The 19,544-nt window shown below is 34.5% G+C and overlaps 2 long non-coding RNA genes across 2 annotated transcripts in view; one reads left to right on the forward strand and one right to left on the reverse strand.

Moving 5' to 3' along the window:
* LOC101927314 (uncharacterized) overlaps positions 1–19,544 on the forward strand; it is a 403,332-nt gene that overhangs the window by 132,995 nt on the left and 250,793 nt on the right. The window lies entirely within an intron of this gene.
* LOC105377909 (uncharacterized) lies at positions 17,991–18,322 on the reverse strand. Its single transcript, XR_942808.3, has 2 exons — positions 18,182–18,322; positions 17,991–18,076 (listed from the first exon to the last, which is right to left on the reverse strand). It is a non-coding gene; the product is annotated as an uncharacterized LOC105377909 (long non-coding RNA).

Raw genomic sequence — 19,544 nt, forward strand, 5'->3', positions numbered from 1 at the left:
ACTAAAAAAAGAATGACCCCACCTCCTAAACTACCACATAAATCAGCTTGATTAGTAATCTCTATTAAGAGACATTGAGTTTTGAATTGGCTGGGGTATTGTAGGTCCAGAATGAAGGACTTGGCAGGCCCAAATAGGGAAGTTTGAACATCTGCCCTACTCCGTCCTAGCACTTCTGCAAGTTTTAAGCCTATTCACAAATGGCCTAAATTATAAAAGTGCAAACTGTAGTTCTCCACAAGCAGTTTTTCAAATAACATTAAGGGGTGAATATATAATATTAGTATTTATTGAAGGTGTAGAAATTCCATAAAATATTTTATATTAAGGAGAAAGGTAACAGTAACAGACCTTTATATTTGAGCCCATTAATACCAGCTTTCTTTTAGCATTCTTCTTTTCTGTAACAAGTGAAGTTTGATCTTGAATTTTTATTCAAAGCTCTGTAAACCAAAGCCACAGATGGGGTATTGCTGTGTCATTTCCATGGCCTTATACAGATTACAGAATGTATGCAGCTGTCCCATACTCCCTTAATAGACCTTCAGCTTTTCAATACATCTTCCACTGATGGCATTTCTGTGGATAAACATCATTTCAGAATGAAATGTGCCAGATGTCCTGCAGTGCACTTAGGTACAACAAGGCACTTTTTAAAAAAGTCGCGCCTGTATTATTTACTCATTTAGAGAATGTGACTTCTGGAATATACATTGGAAATCCAAAATTTGCTGAATGAGAGAGGAAATATTATAAATAGTTTTTAACTCATATGTACCTTAAAATTCCCTTAAATACATTTTTTCTGGACCATAAAGAAATCAATGTTTTATATCCAGGTTTCTCATAATTTTTTCCTCTAGGAGGCATAACTCAATCAAAATCTCTGGTTACTACTGAATAGAAATAGTCCTTTTTATTGAGGTTAAAAATTGCTAGATCAGGGATTTGGAATATATATGTATGTCTATATATACACACATATATATAATGTTTCCTTTAGTATAGCTAATTTTATGAAGCATTCCTTTCAACATTCTTGAGTTTTATATTCCTGCCACAAGAAAATATTATTTTCAAGTTCTGTATTTTGTTATTGTTGTTGTTAAGAGACTGGAATAGGTGATCCAAATGAAAGTAAAACACCAGTGAGAAATGGCAATTCAGGATCATTCCAATATCAGCATTTGATTCTCTCATATCAGATGCAACTATACCACATGCTCAATTGAGTGCTTGACTGACTATTGACTTATGTCATTTAACATTTTTTTACATACATACCACTCTTCAAAGCCTGCAAATCATTGACTGCAAGGACCATATCTTCTGCCACTTAATATGCCTCGTTGCTGAACACAATGTGAGATTTTAGTCAGTGGCTGTTGAGTTGATGACTACGTTTATGGTAAACTAGAACAAGGAGATGTGTATTAAATTTTTCTATGAGGAAATCCATTTTCACTTATAAGTGCTTATAGATTATACCAAAGATATAGACTTCACTTAATTGCGATATCGCAAACTGTGGTAGCTTTAGTGTTCTTCAGCATGTTTTTTATGCATTTTTCATTTTTTAAAGAGTGAGATTTGTAGAGGCAGTCCACTAATAGCTGATAAAACTGAGGTACAGACCTTTAGATGGTCCACAACTAAAGGAGATGGTGCTAGGCTGTATTTTGAAGCTTCTGAGAATCCCTAGGAATTATTTAAAAGAGACACGTCCTTCAATATTGCATAAACTAATTATCTATGAACTGTTTATCCTAAGCAAAATAATAATAATAATAATAATAAATCATAATGAGAAAATGTTACTCCAGGAACGTTGACAATTATTTAAAATCTCACTATGTATTTAATTCAAAAAGTGTGATTCTTGAGGCTGTATACTTTTCTATGTGTGCACTCCCTAAGAAAACTAGCTGAAACTTTTAATGATTTATCAAATCACTTGATAATTTTATATATTGTCAATTTACCTCCTCTTCCTAACAGCAATGTTCCTCTTAACACAAAATATACTGCATTTAGAAAACTGAAACATATTTATCATTTGTCTTGCCATCAAGGTTTTTAGAAAATATCTGCGCTGTAGTTCTGTCTCTGACAGCTGTGTGGTTAATTTTTCGATCCCTGGTATGTAGCTGTCTCTTTCGGTGCTGCTGCGTTTGCAGCCATGCTGTCAACATCCACCAGAGAGCAGAGCAGCTCCAACCCCCACATCTTTCATGCTAGAAATAGATGGAGACAGTAACACAGTCAGATCCTTGGCCAAACAACGCGGATTGCAGTTCATTTCAAAGGTCAGCACATATTTAAGCTTGCTTCATTACTGCCACCTTTATGCCTGAGATTTTCATTTAAAAAAAAAATCAGTTTACCCAGGTTCCTTTAGAGACAGAAAAATGAAAGTGCTGAGTCCTATTTTCATTTGGAGATATCAAGCTTTTTATCAAATTATAGTGGTGGCGTTTCAGAATATTTCATATCTGATCAAGAGGGAAATCCAAAAATAATTTTCTCTTTATTCAGGAGTCTTTCAGGCAGGAAAACTGTTTTATTTTTTACTTAATATTGTGCTCAAGCCAATCATTTTAAATTCATAGAGAAAGCAGACATTTAAAAACAATTTATAATAAAAATATTTTGGAGTTTAATATTTTTATTTATATTTTCTAATGAAAACACCACAATTTGTACTCTTTCGACATGTTTTAACTTATCAACTAGTAAAATAAATATACACACTTTCCTTTCTTATATTAAGGATGGTGAACAAGTGGATAATTATAAAACACTTTCTAGTTAAAAAGAAATAGTTTGCCTTTTAAGAAAAAAGCAAGGATGGTTTATTTTGTTTTAAATCAAATCTGTCCTTTTCCTATTTACCATAAGGATCTAATATACATAGGAAGAATATGATACAGTATACATTAGGAATATTAATATGGCCTGTGTATATTAAGGATTCTCAATGGTTTATGTCACAGATATCTTTAAAACTAATACTTTATTTTTAATTAAAATAATTAATTTTGAGACGAAGCTTTACATCTTCTTTGCAAAAACAGAGTTCTAGGAAATGAAAGAAAATCATTCTGAGATAGGATGTACAAGCCACTGAGAAAATACATTTTCAAAATAGTGTTTTAATAAAGGTTTTTGATACCAAAATGTGAAAAAAATTGTATAAGTGGTTTCGTTAATCATTGGAAATTAAACTGCCTATAATTTTTTTAATGACTAACAACATAAGTAGTAAAAAATTTTTCAAACTTGATGTCATGATCATTTTAGATCATTGAAATTTATATTTTTCTTGTAACACATTGTGGGAACATAATTATGGACATACCTTAGAAAGAGTTTAAAAGGAATGCCTGGAGGCTAAAGGCTTCCTAAAAGAAATACTCACATACTCAGGTTATATAGCTGAATATATATATTATATATATATATAATATATATATATATACGTATATATTTTAGTGATAATTTTAACTAGGTTATTTTAATTTTGGCATTCATGTATTTCTGAAATGAATATTTAAAATACACTATAACTGAAAGAGGAAAAAACATATCTATATTTAAAGTATAATAATTTTAGATTTATAAATAGATTTTATAAAAGTTTTTTGAATACTTCATTAATACTTTATCTATAACTTACTTTAAAATAATTAAGAAATGTATATGGCTGAAAGTCCAGTCATCAGTTGTATTTAGACTTGGACTACTTCACTCAATTCTATAGGCTGGTTGGAATTTGAAAACAAATTCTCATTTGTTTTCAGGAATAATGATCTATAAAAAGTATGTGAATGAGATCCAGAAAATATGATAGTAGGACATTAGGATAAAAGTAAGAAATGTGAAAGGTGAGAAAACTGGGAAAAAATAGGACCTCAAGTCCCTTGGACCATCCAAGTGCATCTTTTAACCTGAAAGATAACATGAACCCTTTTTCTTGTCCCTCAGATTCTAAAGTACATGGTGCTGATTTTACTTGTTATAAATTCTAACGTGACTTATATATAGGTTCATTTACTTCTTTCTTAGATGCAATTTAAAACAACAACTCAGCATTATGAAATAAAACCAGGTAACAAACTTGCATAAGTGCTCCCTGAATCTAAAGTAAAAGTTGAAAAAATTAAAACCAGCAATAAAAGAAAAGCAAACTTCTATTAGAAAATTATATTCCTATTTTAAAGGAAGTAAAAAGATATTTATTGCCAATTATTTGCCCAACAGCACATTATCTCATTTAACCTTCATTATCACACTGGGAGCTGGGTGGTGCTAGGCCCATTTTACAGAGAAGAGACTTAAAATTTTAAGAATTTAGTGATTACCTCTATTACCTAGCCAAGGCTTGGTCCCAGATCGTCTGACTTCACGTCCTATTTTTCTCTTTTGCTAAGTTAAAATTCTGGACAAAGACAAAAATCCTTTCCTTAAAGGTTAACTATCTTAGAGATTCATGGATTTGAATTACTGGCAGAAAGAAAAATTAGGAAGAGCAAAGATTAGCTGTGAGGTGAATGATAATACATGGGTGATTTCTATTTTTCAGTTTGCGATTTAATTCTGTAGTCAATTATCTGTATTAAAAAACAAACTAACTAAAGTGCTCAAAACTTAGACTGATTTGTTATTTATCAGGTATTTATCCTAACACTTTAATTACTACTCATAACAGAATAATTAAACCTATTTGGCCTATATTCCTGGTAAAATGGGAGTTTTATATATGAAAAAATAGCACACATCATTTTTGGATAATTAAAGGTAGTCCATTGTATGTGATATTAAAGGCTGATATCTTTAAATACGTCGTGACAATTTTAAGGGTGGAAATATAATTTAGCTTGACTTTTGGCTTTTTTTTTTTTTTAACATGGGTTAAAAAAGTTTAGTGTACTCAAAGACTACAGAATTGCCCTATTGTTATTTATTCAACTCAAGTACCAGGGGCTAAGAAAGTCAGGAAAGCCACTTTTTTTTTTTTTTTTTCCATTCTTCATCACGGCCTCTACTTCCCTGGCTCCCCAGATGTAGCATGGCCTTGTTTTGAAATGATACATTTAACAGCAATATTTTAAAAAGCCTTTTTCATTTGTACAAATGAGAAATCAGGTTCAAATGATTACAGGTAGAAGTGATCTTTAGCCTTTTCTTAGAATTTAAGTTAGGTTTACACGTAGAGGTAGGTGATCTTTGGCCTCACTTTAGAATTTGAGTTACAGGTTTTTGAAAGCCTGGTAGCCTGGTAGCCCTTTACATAAGCTCTACATATCCTGCAATAGAGCAACCAAAGGATACTTTGACTGCTGTAGTAGACAGTTTCTTTTCTTTTGCTTATTAATACAAAGGTGCTTAGCGGCACAGTAGGAAAATTTAAATTCACTCTCCAAAAGCCCATTTATGTGGAATGTGTTAAAATTACTTTTTCCAAAATAATTTGCTAACCTAGTATTCTTCTATATTCAGAAGTTTAAAAATAAATCTCTTAAGCCTCAAGCAGAATAATGATTTAATACAAAAATAAAGATAAATGATTTTTTTTTCTTACAATATGGTCATTGTCTTTCACTGAGTTCTAAGGATGTTAACATTAAAGTTCCTATGATGAAAACACTTTAAACTCTATGATAGGAACTTGGAACTTTCTGTGGAAGGCTCTTAAGAAATCTGATACAACCAAAATATTTTTCAAAACTTGTGTTTGTTGTTGTTGTTGTTGTAAGTTGTGCTTGATTAAAGGGATTGTACTTTACAATGCAAATATTAGAAGGCAGATTTGAAAGTGCTAGTATATTTTTAAAGAAATTCATATATGTTTTCTGAGTTGATTCTATCTGAACTTTTAAATAGACACAGAAGCAGAATCTCTTATCACTAAATTAGGTCATGGAATAATAGCACTATGCAAAGGTTCAGATGAAAAGATAGTGGTAACATCAAAATTTTCTCATTTTCTTAAAATTTAAGATAAAAATGAAGGGTCACTGTGTAGAGATTTCATGAGTTTGACTCATTAATTCACGAAGAAAGGAAAAGGAGAAGAATATATTTTTAAAGAAAAACATTAGAATGTGTTGGCTGTATTTCAGATGATGATTTGTTTTTAGTGATTTAGACCTCTATTATATTTCTGTAGAATTAGTATTGATCATTTCAACTTTTTTAGGAGCCTTATTTTGCTCTAATTCAAAGGCAGCACATTCTGTCTTAAAATCGTGAATACTGCAGAGTTCTTCATAACTTTATGGATCCAGTCTTTTAGTATTCATTTGGATATTGCATTGTTGTTAGCTAGGTATCCCTATGTTGCTTGTTTGTATATTTAGAATATGGCTGATATACTTTATTTTCTTAATATATCCCAATGTATTTTAATATAGGAGCTTGCATGTGGAGTTCCGAATTTATTTTATGATAGCACTCTCAAATTTTATAGTACATTATTAATTTGCTAGGCTAAAAATCTAAGCCAGTCTCTGAGCCTTCAAAGAAATTCTAAAAAACAAAATGCTGTTAGTTGGAAGTATGATTTCAGTAGGAATATCTTCTGAATTGTTTGTGGTTCATATAAATATATTTTGAGGGAAGTTCTTGTACCAAAGTTCAAGGTCCTGATATTTACATAGTTTCTTTACATAGTGCACCAAGTTGATTTGTGAGGAAATGAAGAGAATTTAAATTAAAAATTTAAACCATGAATGTAAAATTGCTGGATATTTGCACATAGTACAGGGTTGAAGGGAGTTTTTTTTTAAGTTATCCATATGGCAGCAGAACTTTTAATAAACAATAGTTCTAACACAGATTCTTTATGGAAACAGAAAATAGGATTTATGAGGTGACATTTTGAGTATGTTAAGTAAAATGAAATAAGATTAGCTTTATTTTCCTATTTCCCCCCAGCCTTGCGAAGGTTTAGTGGCTGAATTACCACTTATAATTTGTTTTTTCATTCCTCGCATGCATTTCATTAACCTATTCCTGGCTCTGCAGCCAGCCTGCAGAGAAAAATCAGCAGAAGGATTTCTGAACAGATTGGCTACAACACGCTATAGGACATATTTCAGAATCCAAGGACAATTTGATAACTTTTACTGTGCTTTACATTAATAATGTGAAAAGTTTCATTTTGTTTAAATGGTATCTTAGAGAATTAATGTTATTTAATAATATTTAAGTAAAAGTTATGAGATATTACCAAACAGTCAAAATTTAACTCATAGTTCATTGAAATTATTCTGACTGCTTCAGAGTCAGGATTAAATAGATTAGTATTGAAGTTCAGTTCAGGGATTTTACCACTTATTGGATGAACTACTGGAATAGTAGTAAAAGTTTTTTGTAATACAGTTGATTTTTCTTTGAAATAGTTATGAGACTCATGTAATAAAGATTGGAAGATATTTCAAACAGATGTAATTGTACAATTTTCTGAATATAACAGAATTTTGCCTTTCATTCTTTTTAAAAATAACTCTCAGTTATGTATGTTAGCGCAATAATGCAATTGCACATAAATAAATGAAATTGGTGTTGAAATGCAAAAAATTATTTTTCATATGAAAGTTACCTTTTAAATTATATTTTGATTTGACTTTAATTTTGTACATTTGCATTCCCCAACAGAGAATGATGGCTCAGAATGCCCCAGGTGAGAGGATGAGATGAGTTTGTGATTTAAAAATGCTGTGACTCTAAAAAGAAAATTTTTAAAGTTAAAAGGTACTTCAGTTCAACCTTTTGTCCTATAATTCCCTCATCCTGTCTGAAAACTCAGCATTCTCTGGTACTGTTTTATAACTTATTATTTGTTCGGGCCAGTGATAGTACACTCATTACCACCCTGCAAAAGGCAGCCTCTGTTTTGGGATATTTTAAGAATCAAATTGTTTCTTTCTTTTCTTCTTGCTTGTTTTGAGCTCAAATCTGCCCTATAATACCTTTTATTTGCAGTTTTTGTTCTGTGATAGAAAGCTACCAGAATGTCACTCATTCTCTACGTAAAAGACTATCAAATTCAGCTATTGCTACATTTCTCTGCTCTATTTTATAGCAAAAGTCCTGGAAAGAGTTCAATTCAGCAAATGTTTATGGAGTGTCTAATGTTATTTTAGGTTCTTAGGATATAAACAAACAAACAAACAAAATAAAGATCCCTGCCTTGAGGAAGCTTCTATTCTAGTTGGAATAACAAAATAAAAGACAAGTTTACTAAATGATTTTAGAACACCATTGGCTCTAATTGCTTTTCTTCGCATTCTTTCATGCACCTCCCAATAGGCTGTTGTCCCTGCTATTCTTCTGAACTACTCTTCACTTGAGAACTAGAATTTCATTATTTCTTCTTTATTCTCAGTCTTCATTAGTTTTTATCTTTTCAGCAACATTTGAAACAACAGAACACACCCTCCCTCCTTTTTGAAATATTGTCTTTATTTTTAGGACACCACTGGCTCTTACCTTTTTCCTTGACTCACTGCCACCCTTTCTATTCTCCTTTGCCAGCTTCTCCTCCTTTTCCAGGCCTTTAAATGCCCCAGGGCTCTGTCCCTACTCCCTCATCCTTCTCCTGTTTTTTTTCTCTGCCTATACTTACTTATTAGGTGATTTCACAGTTTCATGGCTTCAATGACATCTTTATGCTGGTATCTTTCACATATTCTATAATCCAAAGAAACTAAGACACTGATTCTGAAACTGACTTCTGATGCACCATTATTTTGTATACTACTAAGGAGAAAAAAAAGGTTGCCATTTCTCTGTAAGATATTATTGATTGTGAGACATGTCCCCATTTCAAAGATGTTAAAATAGTGAAAAAGAGTGTGTCATAGAATAAATGAAATGTGGCATATATCCTGACCTCTCCTCTCAGATTCAGACTGGTATATCCAACGGCATATACAACATCTCCACTGAGTTGTTGAATGGGTGTCTCAGGTGGCATTCCTTAAACTGAATTCTCAATTCCCACTCATTCCCAAATTTGCTCTTCCTCTAGTGGTCTCCACATCAATAAATGGAATCTCCATTCATCTGGTTGCTTTGCTCAAAACCCCAAAGGTAATGTCTGATCTGAGTTTTCAACTTTGGCACAAATTTTATAATAAGCAAGTTCTCTACTCTCAAATAAATCCCCAAATTTGATCACTTTTTACTACCTCTGCTACCACTCTTGTCTAAGACACTTTGTTTCTTGCCTATAATACTGAACCAGCCTCCTAACTGGCCTCTGGTGTCCATCTCTTGCTCCTAAGCAGTTGTATTTCACATATAGCCAGAGTGAGTGTTTAAAAAACAAACATCAAATTGCCCTACACCAACTCAAAACCTTACAGAGGCTTCTCTTTATATTCGAAATATATTCCATCCCTTTCCTTGGTTTTCAGGGCTCCACATGACCATGCTCCTGCCTCACTCTGTGACTTTACTCCCCATTGCTCTTTTCTGGGTGCCGTATTTTCCAGACACTTTGTTATTCTTGCTATTCCTCCACAGCACCATGCTAGTTTCCTCCCTGCTCCCAGATCATTAGAGTGTCACATAATTTGAAGCCCTGCTACATGATGATCCTGCTGTCTTCATCCTCCTACCCACAACCCAAGGTAACTAATTATGCCTTTGCCTTTATTTATGGTTTTAGCACATATATAGACACCTCTAAAGTATATATAACTTTTAGTTTTGTTCTGTGTAAATGGAATTATACTGTATGTGTTCTCATGTGAATTGCTCTTTCACTTAACATTATGATATGTACAGCTGTACTTTGCTCATTTGCCCTGCTGTGTAGTATTTCATCGCGTGGATATACCAAATTCATTATTCATACATTTAACTGTCAACAGATTTTTTGCATGTATGTGGATATATTAACAGTGCTGCTGTGACAGTCATGTGCATGTTTCAAGATGAAATTGTTAAAACGTTTCACTGGAAGTGGATTTGGCATCAAAAGGAATATGTATCTTCAGTTTCACTAAATAATGCAAATAATTTTCCAGAGTAGTTATGCCCTTCAGCAGCATATAAAATTATCTGCAAATCCCCGACCTCAAGAAATCCTGATATTGTCAGACTACTTTTTCTTCTCAGTCAAATGGGTATAAATAATATTTCATTATTTAAATTTATATTTTCTCTATAATTTTATATACTTATTGGCCATTAGTGTTTCTTTTTGTTACATTCCTATAAGTGCCTTTGCCAGTTTTTTTAAAATGAGATTTTTTAAGCTGATTTTAAATGTGTTCAACTAGGATTACCTACCCTCCTATATGAGTATTTTGTTGGTTAAATATTCTGTAAGTATTTTCCATTTGTCATTGCTTAGTATTTTACTCTCTTTATAGTATTTTTTGATGAATAATAGTTCTTGATTTACCAACTTTTTCTTTTATTAATTGTACTTTTTGGATGTTATATAAGAAAACTTCCCTAGTCTGAAATCTTGTAGATATTCTCCTATATTTTCTTCTAAGTGTTATAGAGTATTGTCTTATACATTCAACTACTGAATCCATCTGGAATTAACTTTTCTGTTTGGTATAGCTAACAGTTAAATTCCATTTTTTTTCTATATAGAAAACCAGCTATTTCCATGCCATGTATTAAAGTGATCACCCTTTTAAATAAACTAAGAAGTCAACTCTGTCTTAAATCACAATTCACTATGTATTGATACTCTTTCTGGGTTCCTTATTCTGGTGATAAATTTGTATATCTCTTTGCCAATACCACCCGTCTTAATTGCTACAGGTTTAAGTAATTCTATGTAACTGGTAAAACAAGTTCCCTGACCGTGTTCTTCTTCTGCAATATTTAGGCTGTTATTGGCCTTTTGATATTCTGCATACATTTTTGGAATACAATTTTCAAATTTAGTGAAAAAATCTGTTTATATTCTGATTGAAATTTTGGTAAATCTGTAGATCAATATGGAGAAGCTTTACCATAACCAGCCCCAGCTAAGTCCCTAGGCACTGCATCTCAAATAAGCTTCCCTGGTAGATGACATTTCACATGAGCTGTCACAATTCATTGCTGTGGGAATTAAGTGTGCTTTGTGTGACTCTGCTAGGCGAGAACTCTTGGAAGCTTGTGCTTGCTTTTCTCTTGACTTTGCCCATGTGCTTTTTCCCCTTGCTGATTTCCCTTTCCTGATTTCCTTTTGCTTCGTATCCTTTCACTATAATAAATCTTAGCCATGAGCATGGCTATATACTGAGTCCTGTGAGTCCTTCTAGTAAATCCTGGTTACTTCCTACACACCCAGAGTATTTTTCCATTATATTTTCAGCTTTCCCATGATTTTATATTTCAGTGTATCTCTTGATAAAGCCTTCTTACTGTCTCCCTTTGTGGCAAAGATTTATTTAGCTAATCTTTTCAGGGTGTTATTTTCTAGGGTCCTGGTTTTATTATTTTTCTTGGATCTCTGCTCTGACATTTCACCAAGCAAGAGGCCTAGACTGAGTCTTCTTTTTCCATGAATGTTCCCTGAAACAAAGGTCCAGACCACCAAGGACTGGCAAATGCTGTAAAAATGTAGCAGTCAGCATCTGCATATTAGCCTAACCCTCTCTGGCTTCATGCTCCCTCTCTCTCTCTTCTTTTTTTCTCCTGTAAACATTTTATGCAGATACCATTACTATTCAGAGGCTTTCACTCTCAATTTAGTCCCTCATCAAATGCAGTGCCAACGCAGTTCTTTGCATCCTCTACTAAAGGCGGTATCTTTGATAGTCCAAACAGTCCTGGGCCCTGGAGCTGACACAGCTTGCCTTGGAAGAGATTTGGATGCAGATGTGTTTTATCCGCAGCCTGTAGCCATCTCTTCAACAAAAAGTATTTGTTCTAAACAGTTAAATTTTTTTTCAGGACACATATTATGGACATGCAGTGTTATCTAATTGCTAATTTATATTTGTTTATTTTGAATACAAAATAATAAATCCATAATTCCTATTAAAACATTGAAAAAACCCATTATTTCTAAATAGAGGGGCTTTTCAGAAGTTACATTCTCTTTTCTTATGTACTGATTCATTCTTTTTCTGGGAGTAATAGATAATAATAGCTCTTTGTATTTCCTATATTTTATCATGAAAAGTAAAACAGTAATCACATAATGATTTTATGACTTTTTACCTTCTCTAAGTGACTCCTAAGTGACTCCTTAATATCCTAATATTAATATCCTAATATTTATCCCAAAGATATTTAGGGGAGTCCTTGAGATCCTTAGTTGCCATATTCGTATGGGTCCTAGATATAGAACTTGGTATTGATTGTAGCCCATAGTTCTGTTTTTGAGCTAAGCAAAACATGGATTTAAGTAAGACATGAACCCTAGCTCTAGGTCTTAGAAAAAAGCAATTATGAAATAATTTGAGGTTGCAGTATAAAGAGAGGCCATTTATATAATTCTGGGGACATGACTAGTTAGGATTTTAGGATAATGAAGGAAGATAGAGGTTTAGTCAGTTTAGGACATAGACTTTTCTTTGGCTTGGATTTTGTAGAAAAAATCTCATTCAATTGGGATTTCCAAAAAGTCATTGGATTATAGCAATTAAATTTTCAGTCACCTAATATGATTTTGGGTCATACAGTTGAGCATATCTCTGCAAGATTCTTTCATGGGAAGATTTTTATGGAGGAAAAGGGAAGGTAGGTCAACTGGTCTATTGACTTTAGCACAGACTATTAACACTTGTTGAGTATCTCTCATATAGCAGATGTTATCCCTGACTGTCTATATTTGTTATTTTATTTTATACTTCTAAAATCTCAGTGAAATTAAGCATTTAAAAAACCCCTCTCTAAGCCAGACATATTGGCTCCAGCCTGTAATCCCAGCACTTTGGGAAGCTGAAGCAGGGGGACTGGTTGAGCCCAGAAGTTCAAGACCAGCTTGGGCAATAAAGTGAGACCTCCATCTCTACAAAAAAAATTAACCTGGAATGGTGGGATGGGCCTGTAGTCCCAGCTACATGAGAAGCTGAGGCTGAGAGATCCCATGAATTCAGGAGGTCAAGGCTGCAGTGAGCCATGATTGTACCACAGCACTCCAGCCTGGGTGACAGAGTAAGACCCTGTCTCAAGAAAAATTAAAAATGCCTCTCACAGATGAACAAATAAGACTCAGTTTAAGTAATTTACTTGAGGTCATGCAACTTTTGGCTCTAAAGCTTTGGCATGCTTATTATATATGCTGTCTTAGTCTATTTTCTGTTGCTGTAACAGAATACCACAGACTGGGTGATTTATAAAGAAAAAGAGTTTGTTCAGCTTATGGTGCTGGAGGCTGAACCATGAGTATGGTAGATAAGTTGAAAAGTCCAAGAGTATGACACTGACATTTGGTGAGGGTCATTCCATGGTGGAAGGGCAGAAGGCAGGAACTCATGCATGAGACAGAGAAGAAAAGGGGGCCAAACTCCTGTGGTAACTAAACTACTCTTACAATAATGGCGTTAATCCATTCATGAGAATGGAGCCCTCATGGCCCAATTGCCTTCCAAAGGCCTCACCTCTTAACACTGCCATAATGGCAACCAAGTTTCCAACACATGAACTTTTGGGGGTCACACTGAAACCATAGCACATGCAAACCTTGTGTTCCATAGATCATATACAGAATTAGCTCTGGTAGAAATGTGTATCACATAAGTCATTAAGGCAGAAGCTTGAACAGAAGGGGAACTGGACTAGTTTAATGTTATTCTCCATATTTGTTTGAAATGCTTTAAGTTCCTCCATTTCAATTTAGCATAGACTTAGGGACTGGGACAAAGCTGACCCCACTAATGAGGATCAGTTAGATTCTGTAAGATCTAGAGGCCGGCGGAGCTGACAGCATCAAAGTACATATAAATATGGAGAGGAATTCAGAACAAATGGCTTATCAAAGTAAGAAAGAATTAATAGGGAAGGGGTTTTGTGGCAGAAAGGATTTGGATGATCTCTAATTCAGCAAATGTTTAACAGATGATTCTTTTGTATATGGCACTTTGCTTGGAGACAAGTAAAGCCAAGATGTATATGGCACCCTCTCTGCTCTCGAAGAATTTCTATTAAACAAATTACCTTAATATTTGGTGGAATGGAATAAATACTAAATAGAAGAACAAGTGCATGTTATGGAATCATGGAGCAATTACATGACTGGTGCATTAATGGAAGCCTTAACAAAAAAGGTGACAGGTAAACAGGTTATTGAAGGGTAAGTAAAACTTAAAAAAAATGGTAGATCAGTTGACAAATTTCATGAGACAGCAACACGAAGAAACAGCACAGAGCAGGGAGTTGTCCAAGGAGGTAAATGAGATAAACAAGTCAATTTTACTTAGGAAATGACATAGATAGAATAAGGTAGACACAATTGTTTTTGCCCAATGAATACTTATTTTTCTCTTGTTTTCTTTTTTTTAATTTGAATTTTTTTTTTTTTTGAGTTGTAGTTTTACTCTTGTCGTCCCGGCTGGAGTACAATGGTGCAATCTTGGCTCACTGCAACCTCCACCTCCTCGGTTCAAGCGATTCTCCCGCCTCAGCCTCCCAAGTAACTGGAATTACAGGTATACGCCACCATGCCTGGCTAATTTTGTATTTTTAGTAGAGACGGGGTTTCACCACATTGGCCAGGCTGGTCTCGAACTCCTGACCTCAAGTGATATGCCCGTCTCGGCCTCCCAAAGTGCTGGGATTACAGGTGTGAGCCACTGCGCCTGACCCTCAGTTTACCTTCTTATGATAACAACATGTTTATCTTACCTGGGGAATCATCACTCTTTTATCTCTTATCCTGATTATTTGAATATGATGGCTGTCTACCCTACATTTTCCCAAATCAGGAGTGAGCATGTGATCTAGGCTTGGCCAATTAGCAAATTAGACTCAATCTTGAAGTTTTGATTGAAAAAGAGCCTTCTTCTGAGATGGTTAGGCTGTGATGATGTGTTCCTGGAGCAGCCAGGGAGCAATATGATGGGAGATCCTCCCTTAGAATAACCAGAGAGAAAATCAGAGCCAAGGGTCAGAGACAGTGTCCTGATCTTGCCCCAAATTTTTGATTATGTGAGCCAATACCCCTCCTATCCTTTTTTAACTTGTGTTTATTTAAATTGAAGGTATAAATTGTTTCTAATGAAAGGGTCCTGACCAATATACAGGGCTTGGAGGCCCCACGTTGGAAACTGAGCAGAAAGCAGAGTAGAACAAGCTGTTGAAGTAACAGAAGCGGTTGGGCCATGTTGAGACTGGTGAGAAATGAGACAGGAGAAGTATGATAATACAAATTGGCACAGAGCTGAGCAGGGGATTGATATATTAACAACTAGGAGACAGTCCAGTGTTTTTTGGGCAGTAGACTGATACAGTGAAGAATTTTAATCTTTCTCTCTTTCTTGTAATTTTTTTGTATTCCACTTTCTACCCTCTCTGCTCTGGCATTGGTTATATTTATAGCAATGTTGATTTTGTTTCCTATGGCTATCTTTTGTGGAACTTAACACTGAAATTGATCAAGACTCCAAATCTCAGATATTGTGCCTCTTTGAAAAGAGATGAGAGTTTTCTAGAGATGATACACAGGGAACACAGACTCACTAGATACCTCTCAGTTGGATTTCATTTTTTCCTCTTCCAAATCCATGTACCACTGAATTAGTATTTCTTTTATGGCAATAAACCCAGTATGATGTAGGCTATTGTTGTATGGCACTTGTCTTCAAACTACCCAAGCCCTCTCCCTTTATGCCAGATTGTAGCCTTCTTGGTGGGCAGGAACTAAACATTGTGCATATTTTAGAAGAAATTTTTCACAGTGCCAGTCCATTCTCTTGTATACAATAGGTAGTCCAAAGCTTATGGGGAAAATTTTCCTTTAAATAAAACTATTACATGTTTATTAAAGCAAGTATTAGTATCTAGGCTTAGAGACTAGTTACCTGAAAATTTATTACTCTTTGAATGATTAAAGGAAGAAATAAGTTATGGAAGAGACTGTTTTGACATTTGGAATGTGCATGTGCATTTATCCCAAAAATAGGAAGTACTATTGTTTCCACAGGTCATAGGACGTTTCCTAGGAGTATAATTCTCAATCCTTAAGTCTCCTGTTCTCCTTTTCTCAAAAATTTTCTATTCAATAAAATTATTACATATGTGTAGATATTCCCTTCTACAGGAGGTGGAGTTCAGTTCTGCCCCCTACTCCCCTTGCCCTCCACTCTTTCCCCTTGAGTGTAAGCTAGACGTAGTGAATCATTTCCTAAGCATAGAGTGAGCAAAAGGAAAACAGTAACTTTACAGTGGAGAATACTGGAAAACATTATCTTAACCAAGTGATGAAAGTTACCATTAATCATGTTGTCATGTGGAGAACATGTACCCTTGATGTGACATGACAAAAGGGCACTTAACCTCTGTTGATTCCTTTTCAAAAGCCCATAACCTCAATCTAACCATGGTAAAAATAACAGAAAAGGCCCAAACAGGGGACATTTACAGGATATTTGGCCAGTACTGCTTAAGACTGTCAAGGTCATGAAAAACAAGGAAAGACTGAGAAACTGTCACAGGTTGGAGAGACTTGACAACTAAATGCAATGTGGTACTCTGGATTTGATCCTGAAACAGAAAGAAGACATTAACGGGAAAAAATGGTGAAAGCCAAACAAAGTCTGGCATTTGGTTAGTAGTAATGTACTAACATTAGTTTCTCCATTTTGACCCAAATGTATTATACAATACTAACGTAAGATATTAACTAATGTAAGATGGGGGAAACTGGGTCAAGGAACAGAAACTCTTAAGTACTAATTTTGCAACCTGTAAATCTAAAATTATTCCAAAACAAAAAGTTTATTTAAATAATTGTTATGAAGTATTTCAGTAATGTAGAACATTAAGAAGGATATAATTAACAACACGTATTAATCACCCAAACTTAAGAGAGAAAAATTACAGATATACACTTTTCCTTGTGCTTTCACAATCCTGATACACTTTTCTTGAGAGGTAACCAGTATTCTAAATTGTGTTCATCATTTCTGTTTGTCTTTGTTTTATTCTACATATATGTGAATCTGTAAACTTTCTATATTATTGTGTTATACATATTTAAACTTGAATTAATGGAACAATACTCTGTCAACATTTTTTCAGCTTGCTTTGTTCCCCTAGTAATATGTTCTTGAATTTCATCTGTAAGGTTGATCAGTCCTGCTCCAGTCATTCATTCCATACCTATTTATTATACCTGGTAGAATACTAGGTACTTAGGATTCAACAGTGAATCAAATATTTCTGGAAGGCCCTGTGCTCAAAGATGTATATATAAAAAGTGTTATTGATAAGCTTATAGTCTAGTTAGGGAGCTTTCACACAGTAAGAGGCTGTAATATGGATATTTATTTCTAACTTCATTGTTATCTACAAATACTCTCTGTTAGATATTTTATTTTGATGGCCTGCAGACATGTTTTGTTTAGTCAACTCAATGCCTTTTAAAATTTTGTGTTAGTTATCAAGAGCAGTTAAAAATTAAGTGATTTCTTATAATGATTTGGTTTCCAGCTTCTCTTGAAAAGTCTGGCCCTAATGGGCTGATTCCAACATGGTTACCACCGGGAGGAGCAGAGGAGCTGTGGCTCTGAGTTACTCACAGCTCGCTTTGCCCTTTGCACAACTGCCTTACTTGCTGGACACCCCGGGAAGTTTCAGACACTTGAGCTGTACAGTTAGGCATATGCATGCTCCTTGTTTTCCCATACAATCTCTTAAATGTTGTCATTGATATTGTTGACAAATATGGGAGAGTAAAAAGATGTGTATATACACATAGAGCTTGAGATTTTCAACACTGTATATGCTATGGCAAATTTTTCTTTTTTTCTGAAAAGAATTATATCATTTTTATGAACACACAAACCAGTTTTTCTACAAGTGGGCACAGTTTTCCAAATTAGATGCTTTTATTGCAGTTTATTCCACTGTTTCTTGAGGGCCCAATACATTCAGGACATGGTTCTAACTGCTGAAGTGATTCAAAGAAATATATCGTAAGGTAGTAAAACACATTCATAAATGACTTTGTAATTCAACATATTTGTTGAGCACTTGCTGTAGGCTAGGAACTTACTATATGCAAAGGGAATGACATAGGTGAATAAGATGATTCTTGACTTCAAGTACTTTATTATTATCTGGAGCAGTGGTCCTCAGAGATGCATGTGCTGACATGGAGATTCCTGAGCCCACCTGCGCACCTTCTAATTTAGTGATTGAGGTAAATACGAGGCATCTTCAGTTTTAAGAAGTATCTCAGGCAAAGGCAGATTTATTGTGATGGTAACTGGACTTAAGTGGCAGGGCCCTTCACTTGAACTAACTGCGTGAATTCTGGAAGTCACTGAGAATTCTAGAGTGTTTTATGAGGAAAGAGAGGAGAACCAGGTTTCCACTAGGAACCGTTTCTAAGCAAGCACTGTAAATTTTCTAATGTGACCTTAATTTCCAAGTCTCCAGTACAGTCGGCCCTCTATATCTGTGCATTCCACATCTGCGGATTCAAATATGGATTGAATTATATTTGGATTGAAATATTTGGATTGAAAATATTTGGAATGTACCATGGATTGAAAATATTTGGAAAAAAGCATTTCACAAAATTCCAAAAATCAAATCTTTAATTTGCTGTCTGTGGAGTACTATGTTGAATCCATGAGGATGTAGTGATATGTAGACATCGTAATAAGTATGACAAGTAATCTAGAGACAATTTAAAGGATGATATGTTTAGGTTGTGTGTAAATACGATACCATTTTATATAAAAGACTTAAGCATCTGGGGATTTTGGTATCCACAGGGTGTCTTGGAACCAATCTCCCACAAATACTGAGGGGACAACTATAATTTGTTGTGATTTATTTTCTCATGCTAAATAGTCACATTTGTATCTAACTTTAATTCAAATATTCTTTTCTTTTCCCTAAAATGACTTCACCAAATTATGTAAGCTTCAGGCTGATAGCCCTGGTGATTTTGGTGCATGTTGTTCCTGGACCAACCTTTGACAAATGCTATCCAGGGTTATGGAGTGAGATGGGAGATAGAATATCAGTTACATGTAATGCCAGCAAGATGTCAGATGGGCTGTTGTTAGAGAGTCAGAAATAGTATTAGAGGTGAACATTGGAAGTAAAATTTAATTTTGATTGGGAATTTTAGGCTTTGTGCCTAACCACTATGTGACCACTGGACACCAGCCTGCCATGCAGTGGTAGTTTGGATAATTTTACTTATTTGCTAAATATGGTACCTCTGGAAGGATGTGTTAGAGGATTGCCTGATTGTGGGTATATATTTTTAAAAAGGTTGGATGTCATTGAATTGATGAGAATGTACCTTTATGGACAGTCCAACCTCAGGTCCTCTGCTTCTGTTCTCCCTACCATCTGTAGCTTTTCAAAGTTGAGTCCACTGCTTTCCACACACCTCCCAC

This window comes from Homo sapiens, chromosome 6 (genome assembly GCF_000001405.40).
Source record: "Homo sapiens chromosome 6, GRCh38.p14 Primary Assembly".
NCBI classification, from domain to species: Eukaryota; Metazoa; Chordata; class Mammalia; order Primates; family Hominidae; genus Homo; species Homo sapiens.